The sequence below is a fragment of the Homo sapiens genome, chromosome 18 (assembly GCF_000001405.40).
Source record: "Homo sapiens chromosome 18, GRCh38.p14 Primary Assembly".
Lineage (NCBI taxonomy): Eukaryota > Metazoa > Chordata > Mammalia > Primates > Hominidae > Homo > Homo sapiens.
Window position 1 is genome coordinate 47,748,502 of NC_000018.10, and position 13,601 is coordinate 47,762,102.

At 46.2% G+C, this 13,601-nt stretch overlaps 1 annotated feature.

Annotated features, from left to right (window-relative positions):
- Nucleotides 686-865: a silencer, noted in NCBI's record as "silent region_9426". NCBI's record gives its function as "represses an Ori minimal core promoter by ATAC-STARR-seq in GM12878 lymphoblastoid cells {active_cell/tissue: GM12878}" and the evidence as "EXISTENCE:reporter gene assay evidence [ECO:0000049][PMID:35858748]".

A 13,601-nucleotide genomic window follows, 5' to 3' on the forward strand; every position in this document is an offset into this window, starting at 1 on the left:
GGGCTTAGATGGATAGAGCTGGGAAAAGTTTGAAGCCTGTGTTCCTGTGAGAGGGGAGGCTTGGGCCCACCCACATGGCACTGCATGGCCAGGGTGACGCTGGAGGTTCCCGAGGGGCCTGAAGACTTAGAAGGTCCCAAAGATGACAGTGGTAGAGACTCCGTGCCGGACCCCACAATCTGGTTTGTGTCAGCCCTGGGAGTGTCATGCAAGACCCCTCACCGCGGGTCTCAGTTTCCCCATCCATCCTGCTTCCGTCGCAGCGGTATTAGAAGGATCCGGGGACACACGCTTGGGAAAAGTCTAACGGTGTCACAGATGTCAGAGGGAACCCTCTGGCCTCCAGGATCACAGATCTGTCCTCCCCACGAGCCAAGGCCCAGGAGTTCCTCTGCAGTCCGCCTGAACGTTAACACGCAGGGAAAACTTCAGGGAAAACATACAGCTGATAAAAATTTAATGCTATATGTAACAAAGGAGAATGAATATTTAATCCGTGCTTTTATGCGAAACCACATAACCAGGCAGCCCCACGCGGCGCCCCTCCCCTCGCCCGCGCCCGGCAGCGAAGCAGTTAAGCGGCTGGCAACAAGCAGCTCCTAATAAACACTCGGCTAATTCTGTAGGAAAAGCACTAATTAGAAAAGCAATAATAATCGGTGTAATTGCTCTAAATTACCCTCCTAACAGAGAACGGCGCTCGGAGCCGGGAACGCAGCTGCCGCCGCCCAGCCCTGAGCCCCGCGCTTCGCGCCCGCGGCCCTGAGCTCTGCTGACCCCTGGCGGCCGCCGCGCGCCGCGCCGTCTGGACTGCGAAGGGCAGCCGCGCGAAACCCGACGCTCTGGCGCCCCCTGGTGTCCGCGATGCCGCACTGACCCGCGGACGGACGGGAGGCCTACGGATCCAGGATGGCTCCTTCGACTCTCCCCACGCCCCCCGCCCTCTGCTTCTCCCCAGGGCTGCTAAGGAACCAACATCACACTGGCTGGCCCACGCAGGACAGGACAGGGCCAAAACAGTAATGGGATGCGCGAACCTCTAAAGGGTTACTGGAATTCGGGATGCTGTGGATTTAGGGGATTGCTTTGGGCATGGGGTTGATGGAGGGAAGGAGGGCCCTCCTTAAGTGTAGGAGGTCAAGATTTTAGGGATGACATGTTCAGGGGAGAGGGCCAGGACAGGCTGGGCAGGGCTGCTTTTGAGAGGCCTGAAATTAACAAGGACGCTACGCCTTTCTGGTGGATTTGCGGACCACTGATAGGGTCGTTAACAAGAGCCTCCCATACCTGCTACTGGGATGGCCGCTACTGGGCTCGGCCGCAGTTTTCAGGGTAAGTTTGGGCCCTCAGCCTGTGTGTGTCTCAGCCCTCCTCAGACCAAACCACAGTCATTGACTTGGTCTCCCTGCTCAGTTGTCAGTCTGACACAGATACACACATATACACACACATGCACACACACATATACACACATACACACATATACACACATATACATAAACATACATATACATGCTTATACATACATATACATACACACATTTATACAAATATACATACACACACATATACATACACACATTTATACAAATATACATACACACACATACACATACATACACACATACACATATACATACACACACTTATACATACATACACACGTTTATACACACATACACATATATACATACACTTATAAACCCATATACATACACACATTTATATACACATATGCATATACATACACACATTTATACACATATGCATATACATACATTTATACACACATATTCATACACTTATACACACATGCATATACATGCATACACATACATATACACACATACACACAGATATAAACACATATACACATGTATACAAAGATATGCACACACATACACCCATATACACATACACACATATACACATATACATACACACATGCACACGTATACACATGCACACATCTCATATATATGCATACATATACATGTACACATACATATAGACATACACACATGTACATACACACACACACACACACCACACTGGGAGCTGCTGAGGGGCAGGCCCCTCTTGGTGCCTGACGCCTGGAGTAGCCACTCACTAAATGCTGGATGAATCAATACCTGGAACAGGCTGGATGCCCACCTGGGGGAAACAGCACCTAGGGATGGGAAAGCAGGGTGTAAAGCTGTGGCCAAAAGTACCAGCAAGAACCAGAGAGGGATCTAGTGATGCCCCAAGGGACCGAGGACCCTACGGGCTGGGAGGTCAGGAAAGAACCCTGGAGGAGGCAGGGTCTCCACTGGCCCCTGGAAGCTGACACTAGAAGCTTAGAATGAGGACCTGGAAGCTCAGAGGGTTTCTAGTACCCCCCAATCCCTCAGTAAGGGGAACTGGGAGGGGTGGCCTCCAACAAGAATCAAACTACTGCTCCCCTGTCCACCAGCCCTCACATAACCGTGCCCTTTCCCGACACCAAGGCAAAATCCCACCCTCTTCTGTTTTAAAGCAAGCTGAGGGGGGCGGTCAGTGTGAAGGGGGTTGTCCCTCCTACCCACTGCACTGATGCCTTGGCACTGCACTGATGCCCTGCCCGGAACCTGCACTGATGCTCTGGCGCTGCACTGATGTCCGGGACCTGCACTGATGCCCTGGCAGTGCACTTTCTGCCTGGGACCTGCAGACTTCCCACATGCTCCTCATCTCCACCTGCCAATCATCAACCACATGGAGTCCGCTGAGAGTCTTGCTCCTCCTGCCTCTGCCCTCAGGCCTGGGACCTGAGTACTTCAGTGCTGAAGAAAACCGACCAAGGAGTCCTGGCTGGAAACCAAGCCATGTGCTGTCCTGCCAACCCCCATGCATCCTCCCCACAAGGCTGAAGCTTTTGCTAGAAAACACCCCACATGGTTAGAGAATGGGTGTTAATGACATGAAATGGGCACTCCCTCCCCAGAAAGCCTTCCCTGGCTTACTCATCATTACAGGACAACCTTGGAATCTATGGCATAACCTGACAGATATGGCTTCTCCATCATATGATTGATCTAAATCAGTGGTTTCAGAGGGAGCCTCTTGCTGGCAGGTTATATCCATGGGTCTCAGCGGGAAATGTGTGGATGAGGAGGGGACAAGGCCTTTTGGGTACCACCCCTCCTTAAACAAGCAGCTCCACCTTCACATCTACAGAGGCCATACAGCCTGGTAACCACATGCCTAGGCTAGGAACCAGGCTACCTGGGTTCAATTCCTAGCCTTTTCACTGACACTGTGTGACCATGAGCAAGTTTCTTAACTCCTCTATGCCTCATTTTCCTCATCTATAAATTAAGATGTTAGTAGTAACCTAACTCAAAGGATTGTTGGGAAAAGTAATTGAATTAACACAGGTAAAGTGTCTGGCATACGGTAAACGCTCAATGAATGTTAGCTATTAATATTAACTGGTGTATACAATGGAATTCTACATATGCTTGAAATAAGACCAAAACATGTTTGAAAACCCACTAGATTTCATGATCTCCAAGGTCCCTTCTGGCTCTAAAATTCAATAATTTTAAGGTGATATCTTTTAACTGTCACTTTTGCATCTCCAAGCCCTAGCACCTGCTGTTCTCTGCCAGATACACCATTTCCTACTGTCTGCCTAGTGAACGCTGACTTCTCCTTCCTGCCTCAGTTTAATAGCTGCCTCCTCCAGGAAGCATTCTCTCCCTGCTCCAGGCAGAATCGGTCCAGTCTTTCCTTCCCACATGTTCCTTGCACACTTTTAAAATAATACAGAGTCCCTGATACCTATGCTGTCCCATGCTTCTGTTTCCTTTTTGCCCTCTTGCAGGACCCACAGACTCCTGGAGAGCCTACTCATGTCTATAGCCCCCATGCCTGGCCTAGAACAGGCAATTGCCTAGAACAGGCAATGTACTCATCAGTTTTTTGTTTTTTGTTTTTTGTTGTTTTCTTTGAGATGGAGTCTTGCTCTGTCACCCAGGCTGGAGTGCAATGGCATGATCTTGGCTCACTGCAACCTCCGCCTCCCAGATTCAAGCAATTCTCCTGCCTCAGCCTCCCAAGTAGCTGGGAATACAGGTGCGCACCACCACGCCCAGCTAATTTTTTGTATTTTTAGTAGAGACGGGGTTTCACATGTTAGCCAGGATGGTCTCCATCTCCTGACCTCGTGATCCACCAGCCTCGGCCTCCCAAAGTGCTGGGATTACAAGCATAAGCCACCGCGCCTGGCCACTTATCAGTTTTATAGTGAGGAAACTGAAGCACAGAGGTATGAAAAAAATGGCTGGAAACACTCAGAGTCAGAGCTGGGAGGAAGAACCAGGCCTCTGGACCACTAGACAGGATCTGAGGCTTCTCTCAAGGGCAAGGGTCAGGGCAGGGAGGGTGTCACCATCTCAATTCCAGGGCAGGCTTTGGCACAGCCAGGTGGGGCAGGTGCGGGCATCTCTATTAGGGCTGAGAAGGACTTAGATGAGGGACCAGCCCCACCACCAAACACAGAGGCAGTAGCATCGCCGATGGGGTCTGGGGATGCCATCTCACACCTGGACCATTGCAGTAGCTTCTAACTGTCCTCCACACTTGCCCCATGTCCCCGCCTCTATCCCTCCACCTGCCACATGCCAGCCAGAATGACCTGGTGAAACATGGGTAGAATCAGGTCCCTCCCTGCTCAAAACCCCCACAGCCCATCTTATTCACCATTAAAGCCAAAGTCCTCTCAATGGCCTCCAAGGCCCCACATGCTCGAATCCAACCACAGCTTCTACATTTCTCCTCCCTGCTCATTTTGTTCCAGCCAGGCTGGCCCACTCAACAGATACCAAGCACAGTCCCATCTTGCACCACTGCCCTTCCTTCTGCCTGCAATGCCCTCCCGCAGACAGCCACACGGCTAACTCCATCACAGTTTTCAGATGGCTGCCCAAGTTCCCCTCCATGAGGCCTACCCTGACCACCCTATCTAAAAGAACAGCCCGTGTTGCCCCACACAGAATGCCTTCACCTTACAAATAATATATCTATTTCTTTATCTTTGTCTTCCCTACTGGACTAGCGGCTCCACAAGAGCAGGCAGTTTGCCTTTTGTTCACTGACGCAGCCCCACATGTGAAATTGTACCCAGCATATAATGTGAGTTCAATAAATGCTAACTTAATTAAACAGCTGTAAAGTCACAAAGAAATGAATTTCTAATGGTGGAATTTCAGGCAGCACATGCATTGCTGATGGACATGGCACAGTGTCAAGCACATGGTGGGTGCCTGAAACTCTGTGGAATGAGGGGCCTTCTTGCTTTTGCAAGCGCCTTCGTTGGCCTGCCTCCTTGCTAGGAAAGCATGCTGAGTACAGCCACCATTTCTGGTGTTGAATTGTTTGTTGGTTGGTTGATTTTCTGACTGTGCGTCTTGGGGGCACACCCTGCTTCCTCCACAGTATAACGTTAGCGGAGACACACACCATATACACCTTCCCTCTTTCCAATGGCCTCTCCTGACTTTAGGTCCCCAACCCCAATTGTTTCTGGCCCAGCCAAATGGAAAATTTAATTTCCAATTAATTAGCCCTGAATTTGGTGCCCCTCGTCAAGTTACAGGACTGCCCTTCTCCCAAGAGAGGGGGCTCCCCGCCCACAGGTGGCCAACACTTGACACTGCCTCTGCTGGGAGGGAGACAAAGGCCCCCAGCCCTGCCATTGTCTCGGCTCGAGTTCACGGTCAGGCGGGCACAAAGGCTGGATGAATTCTTCATGACCCTCTGAAAGCGTGGCTCTTCCCTATCTGGCCACAGGTGAGCCCTTGAATGGGGGAGAAGGACATCTTCTCAAGCAGCAAGTGTCCCACCCAACACGGATCCCAGCCTCCGTCCCCAGCCTCCTGCCCTGGCGCCGCCGCCCCCGCAGTCCGCTGAAACCGGAAGCCCCGGGCCAGTTCAAGACAAGGGCGCCCCGCACCCGGCGCAACTCCCCTCCTTCCACGACACAGCCCTGCTGCTGTGGCATGGCCCTGGCTCTCAGCGGGGCGGTCCCCTTCCCTGCTCCAGAAAGGGTCTCCAGGGCGAGATCTGCCCTGCTTTCCCTTGTATTAATATAAGGGAAAGTCCTGGGGAGGAAGCTCTCCCCTGCCAGCGTCCACTCCAGCCTCCAGGAGTCCCTCTCCGCAGGTCTCCATCTTTCCCGCGGGTTCCGCTGTGCTGTGGCGCCCTCTGCTGGTGGGTCCCATGCAGTGCGAGAGTGCTCACCTGGTCCTGGCGTCCTGAAAGCCCATGTCCCCTACCTTCAAGTTCCTCCCTCTCCCAAGAAGTCGTTAGAAGGAAGAGGAGGCAGTCCTGTGGCCAGGTCTCTTCTCCAGAGATAAGTAGAGGAGGGATGAAGAAAAAACAAGGCCTGGGGGAGGGGCTGGGATTTGAGTTAATGAGCTATGTATTTTCCTTTCTCTATAATCCACGGTATTGGATGCAGCAGCCAATTTAACTTCGCCATGGGATAATTTGTCATGGGGTTGTTAGGCTGCAGAGGCTGGGGTGGGATGAGGATGGGTGGGTAAGGCAGGGCCAGACAGAACCGGGGGCCATCCCAAGTGCTTCCTAGCAAACCTCCTGGGGTCGGGGGGTGCAGCATACTCTGTGCACCAGGGGCCCAAGGAAAGGAGCGTGGATAGCATCAAGAATTCCTCAGGGGCAGAGCTAGGGTAGGACAAGGAAGGGAGGGAAGGACCCAACTCCAGCACAAGAGAGCCTTGCCAGGTGAAAGGGCGCCTCAGCTCTTCCCTGAGAACAGCAGTGTGTCTGTGCAGCCCTCCAGAGCCTGGGACCCAGGGGCTTCCCGCAGAGTTGTTGGTCCTGTGTGACTCATGGATGGATAGCTGGATTGGATGAATAGATCCATGGATTCATGAGTGAGCATCACTCAAATCTTCCATGCATCTAGAATGTGACAGAACCAGGACTTTCTGGCCTCATTTCTGTGTCCCTACTGTGTGCTTCCCTTAGAGTCAGAAATCAGAGGACCTCGAGTTGATGGTCCTTAGAAGGCAACTCATTTTACATAGAAATTGGGTGACCTTATATTCTGGTTTTCCCAGACAGCATCCCAGTTTCTGCCTTTGACCCAGGGCAATTAATATTCCTTTCACTCACAATATCATCCTGGTGTGGACAATAAATATGGTCACCCTTCAGAAGAGGAAACTGAGGCTGAGATGCAGTCACTGCCCACAGCTAGCCTGTGGCCAATGCCCAAGTCTCCTGACATCCTCTGCTCTTCCTGCTGAGCTAAACCACTGCCAAACACCAAGGCCTGACACTCAAAGGTACAGGATCAGACCCCACCTGTCCACTGGGATCTCCCTCTCCAGGAAGCCCTCCCTGACTAGGACAGCCTGCAGAGACCCATCCATATCTGAACTCTGCCTTCAACACTTTCCATCTCAATCTGGTACACAGCACTAAACTCCTTTCTCCACCAAAGTGTGGCTCCACCTACAATGTGCCAGAGGGGAGTGTGGAAGAGGAGAACAGACAGGTAGCAGGGGCCAGAGGGCCAGGGTCTAGAATCAGTCACTGCACATTTCTCCCCTGGGCACCTAAAACAATAGTGGCCTGAGGGCCCAACTAGAAGATGGGGAGCCACACATCTGAATGGGAGTGGAATTAAAATGTTGATTTGGCCATTTGCCTCCTATGGTCCTGGGCAGAAAGGCAGGCCAGGGCCTCTCTACCAACAGCCTGGTAGGTTTTCTGATGCCCTATGACCTTGACTTGTTTCCATCCCACCTCTGTGGGCTGCAGACGCACTCTGGCCCCTCTGTTTTCTGGCCAGCCCACTTTTCTAACTGCGGTGCTTCCTGGGATGCAACATTAGGCACCAGTTGGGTAGTAGATTCTCTCTCCCCCCATATCCTCTCAGGAGGTATGAAGTCCCCCTCCTCCACGGCCCCAGCCTTCCCGTTTCTGAATAGACCACACTCCTCTCCCCTTGTCCAGAGCTATCAGAACCCTGCCTCTTGCCAATCAAATGGCCCGCCACTGTCCACTCCCTGGAATGTAGCACCACCTAGTGGCAGCCTGCAGCCTGACAGCGCCGCAAGTGAAATTTCAGCACAGCAAGTCTTTACTGATTATCAACCATACACAAGGCATTATGCCAGGCCTTTACAGGTGGGCAGAAAATCACAAAGACAAACAAACAAAACCTTGAGATGTGCTCCCTGCACCGGAAAGCACTTGCCTTCCAGTGGGGAACTGAGCCGAACACGGTGCAACAGAAGCAGTATAGCATGATGCTTGTGGGTACAGACTTCTGAGTCAGACCGTCCAGGGTTCAAATCCTAGCTGTGGCACTTACTAGCTGTGCTATTCCAGGTACATTATTTAACTTCTGTAAGCCCTAGATTTCTCTTTGTAACATGGATTAATAAAGATGCCTCTCTCAAAGGGATATTGTAAAGAACTGAGTTGAAGTATTAAAACATTCAGCACAGTGCTTGGCAGAGGGCAAGTGACATTAAGATGGATGCTATTATTGAAATGATAAAATGATTAATTCAGGCTTAGTCTTGTAAGAATTCAGGAAAAGGGTGGCCACGTGCAGTGGCTCACGCCTGTAATCCCAGCACTTTGGGAGGCCGAGAGGGGCGGATCACGAGGTCAGGAGATAGAGACCATCCTGGCCAACATGGTGAAACCCCATCTCTACTAAAAATACAAAAATTAGCCAGGCGTGGTGGCAGGCACCTGTAATCCCAGCTACTTGGGAGGCTGAGGCAGGAGAATCGCTTGAACCTGGGAGGCAGACGCTGCAGTGAGCCGAGATCGTGCCACTGCACTCCAACCTGGTGACAGAGCGATACTCTGTCTCAAAAAAAAAAAAAAAAGAATTCAGGAAAAGGTTAACCCAACTATGAATTGGAATTATGACAGAGAGAGTAATGGAAGAGGTAAGAACTGAAGTAGGGCTCTGCGGAAAATGTAGGCTCTGTGACCACGACCAAGTCCTCATCTGTAAATGGAGATAACACAAAGTGCTTAAAGGTAGGGACCTCAGGTAATTCTCGAGGTAACATCTTTTAGTGATAAACATTTACTGAGCACCTACAATGTGTCAGGCTTTGGAGATTCAGAGATGAAAAGATACAGTTGCTGATCTCAACATTACAATCTGGCTCATATCACAGAGAAAAGAGCTGGTGGGCTTCTGATCCCCACCCCAATCCCTGCACGAAACCCAGAAGGCAAGGGCGAGGCCATCTGTGAGTACTGTGTCCTCGGCCGGCAGAACCTCCAGGATCTCAACCCCTAAAACAGGGCCAGCTGTTCTGGGGAGATGAGATGGCAGATAATGATCAGGGTCATGGGCCCAATCACTCCTCTCAGGCTGCTCCTCTGCAAGGCCTCCTCCAGCCATGCTCCTCTGCTTCCCGCTCTGGTCCACAATCAGGAGTGTCCAGAATGTAAGGTTCGTGAGAGCAGGGGTCCAGCCCATCTTGTTCTCCAATGGGGCCAGTACAGCATTCAGTGCCTGGAATATAATAATGTCCAAAAATGTTTGCTGAATGGATGAATGAATGAATTAAAGTTTTAAGAAAGTAATTCATCGTGGGACCCTTCTTCTTATGCCTAGTAACAGCACACATGGGGCCTTTCAAAACTATTCTGGTCCTCAGAGTCTCCATCTAGAGACTAGAAAGTGAACTACGCTCAGGATCTGTACTTCATCATTAGTTCTGCTAACTGCATATTTTTAATATGTCCCACTAATTATTTAATCTGTGTTCTTTTTGTCTTCCAAGTTAAATGATAAGTTTCTTAATAGCAGAAACTTTCCTTTATTTGCAGAATTTACAGTTAATAGATTTGCCATCATGGATGTGGCATTCCTAGATTCCATGCTAAACTTATTTTTCAGATGCCTTCAGGCATGAAAATCTTGTATCAGAAGAGAATAAAGTTGATTGTTCTTTGAATTAGAGTCCTTTCTGCTGATTTCCTGGCCTCCTCATAAAATCATCGGCCAAGTTAAGACCGCAAAAGACCTCGAAATTTTAGACTGATAAGCAGAAATTAACAACATAAAGTAAAAGACTGAATTTATGTTCAATAAACTTTATGTTCAGAACATCAACAGTACAGGTGCAATGTGGTAGAGAAGACATTACTTTTCATGGGGAAAAGATCAGCATGTTTTATTGTCCAATAAACTGAAGACACAAATGTAGAATTTCAGAAAAGGACCAAAGTAATATTTAAAATTTGAAAAATTATAAATTCAAGAACTGAAAGATAAAATACCCAAATTAGGAATTTAATGAATGAGTTTAACAACTGATTAGAAAAAGGTGACAAAAATAATTAGTAAAAGGTAACAATGGTCAAAAAATAAAATGAATTATGGAGAGACAAAGGAGATGAAAAACACATAAGGATGTAAGAGAAATAAGGAATACAATAAGAAAGTCGAACATACATGCAATTCTAATCCCAGAGAAAAAAGAATGAAACAGAAGCAATCTCTGAAGGGAAAATGGTTGAGACTTGTTCAAACTCAATGCAAGAATTAAAACCACATAGTTAATTGGTAAAATAAATAAATAAATAAAATATTTAAGAAACAGCTAAAAGGAAAAGAAAAACTATCATTTAAAAACCTCCTAACAATAAAATTGGAAGCCAGAGACTACTGGAAAATATTTCTAAGTACTGAAAGAAAATAACTGCTGATCTGGAATTCTATACCCAGCAAAAATATTCTTCAAGAATGAAAGTGAAATAAAAATATATTCAAATGTATAAAAACTAGAGAAACTCATCAAAGCAGACCAACACTAAGGACAACACTGAAAAGTGTTCTTTAGGCAGAAAAAAAATTATTCCAGGTGGAAACTCAGAAATGCAGGAAGGAATGAAGAGCAATGAAAAATAGCATACATAAACATTAATTATATGAAACAAAAATAATGTTTATACTTAATAGAAATGAAATAGATAACATATGTCAGAAGGAGACTACATTAAGTGTTCAAAGGTTCTTATATAAAAATGCCGGGCCGGGCACAGTGGCTCACGCCTGTAATCCCAGTACTTTGGGAGGCCAAAGCAGGTGGATTACCTGAGGTCAGGAGTTCGAGACCAGCCTGGCCAACATGGCAAAACCCCATCTACTAAAAATACAAAAATCAGCCGGGCATGGTGGCGGGCACCTGTAATCCCAGCTACTCGGGAGGCTGAGGCAGGAGAATCGCTTCAACATAGGAGGCAGAGGTTACAGTGAGCCAAGATCATGCCACTGAAATCCAGCCTGAGCGACAGAGCAAAACTCCATCTAAAAAAGGAAAAAAAGAATTCCAAGGGTTTGTAGAGGGTTTCTTTTTGATTATTCAGTATAGTACAAATAAATACATACATCTGAGGAAACTACCCAAGTTTTGGGGGGAAACGTCTGAGAGGATTAAGATGAAGAGTGCCTGACTCCACCAGCTAGACTGAAAAATATATTTTATGGGACATTTGGGTAGAGCACTTAGAAGGACCTTGCCTCAGTAGTGGGGAATAATTAGACCTAAACTAAAAAATGTTCTGGTCCTGCCTGACAAATCTTAAAAGCAAGACCCAAAGAATCAATCTGCTTCCAACTAGTTCACCTGCATCACAAAATAAAGAATATTTATGCAAACTATCCATCACATAACATGTAAAATTCACATGTGTGGTATCCAATCAAAGATTACCAGGCATGCAAAGAAGCAGAAAAATGCAACCTCTGAAGATAAGAAAAACCAATACATTAAAACTAACCCCAAAATGCCACAGATGTTAAGACTAGCAAACAAGGACACTAAAACAGTTATTACAACTGTATTACAGATGTTCAAAAACTTTAATAGAGACATGGAAGACATTTTAAAAGGGCTAAATTGAATTTCCAGAGATTAAAACAATATCTGGTTTTCTAGAACTTAATACAATATCTGAGATGAAAAATGCACTGAATGGGATTAATGGCAGATTGGACTTTGCAGAAGAAAGGATGAGTAAACTTGAAAATATGACAATATCTGAAATGAAATATACAGAAAAAAAGGATCCAAAAGAAGTTATAAGAGAATCAGTGAGATATGAGACAATTTCAAGCAACCTAATATATATGAAATTGGATTTCCAAAGTAGGGAGGAAGGCAGAAAAAAAAATTGTTGCAGACATAATGGCCAAACTGTTTCAAATTTAATGAAAACCACAAACATACAGAACAATAATCTCACAAAGCTGCAGCACAAGAAATATAAATAAAATCACACCAAGGCACATCATAATAGTATTATTTAAAACTAATGCCAAAGAAAATCTTAAAAGCAGACAAGGGGGAAAAATGAACAAAGGAACAAATAAAGGATAACAGCTGGGCACAGCGGCTCATGCCTGTTATCCCAGCATTTGGGGAGGCTGAGGTGGGTGGATCAATTGAACTCAGGAGTTCAAGACCAGCCTGGGCAACACAGTGAAGCTCTGTCTCTGTAAGAAATACAAAGATTACCTGTGCATGGTGGCACATGCCTATAGTTCCAGCTACTTGGGAGGCTGAGGTTGGAGGATAACCTGAGCCTGGGGAGGTTGAAGCTGCAGTGAACCATGATTACACCACTGCATTCCAGCCTGAAAAACAGAGTAAGACCCTGTCTCAAAAAGAATAAAATAAATAAAAATAAATAAACAAACAAAGGATAACAGATTTCTCATTGGAAACAACGGAAATGAGAAGCTAGTACCAACAATACTTTAAAAATACTTTTTAAATGTGTTAACCTATAATTCTATACCCAGCAAAAATACCTCACAAAAAATTGACCTAAATGACATTTATAGAACATTCCACCCAACAACAGCAGAATAAGCATTTTTTTCAAGTGCCCATGACCATATTCTGGGCCATAAAACATGCGTAATAAATTTCAAAGGATATAAGTCATAGGTTGTATGTCCTCTGACCACAATAGAATTTAGAAATCAATGACAGAATTATCTATGAAATATCCACAAGAAGCCCATTTCTAAATAAATGTGGTTCAAAGAAGAAATCTAAAAGGAAATTAGAAAGTATTTTGAACTGAATCAAAGTGAAAATAATATATATCAAAAGTTTGAATACACAGCTAAAGCAGTACCTAGAAGGAAATTTATAACACTAACTGCCTATTTAAGACAAGAGCACTCTCAAGTAAATGATCTCAGCTTTCACATTAAGAAACTAGAAAAAGAAGATGAAAGTAAGCCCAAAGTGAGCAGAATAAAAAACAGAGATCAGAGCAGAAATAGAAAAAAATAGAGAAAGTTAAACAAAAAGCAGGTTCTATGAGAAAAACAATAAAATTAATAAATGCCTAGCTAAGCTGATCAAGAAAAAAAGAAGGAAGACATACATTAACATTATCAGAAATAAGAGAGGTGACATCACTATAGATTCTACAGATATTAAAAGGATAACAAAGAAATGTTATTAGCAACTTTATGCCAATAAATTTGACAACTTAGATGAAATGTATAAATTCCTTGAAAGATATAATTCCCAAAGCTCACTAAAAAATAA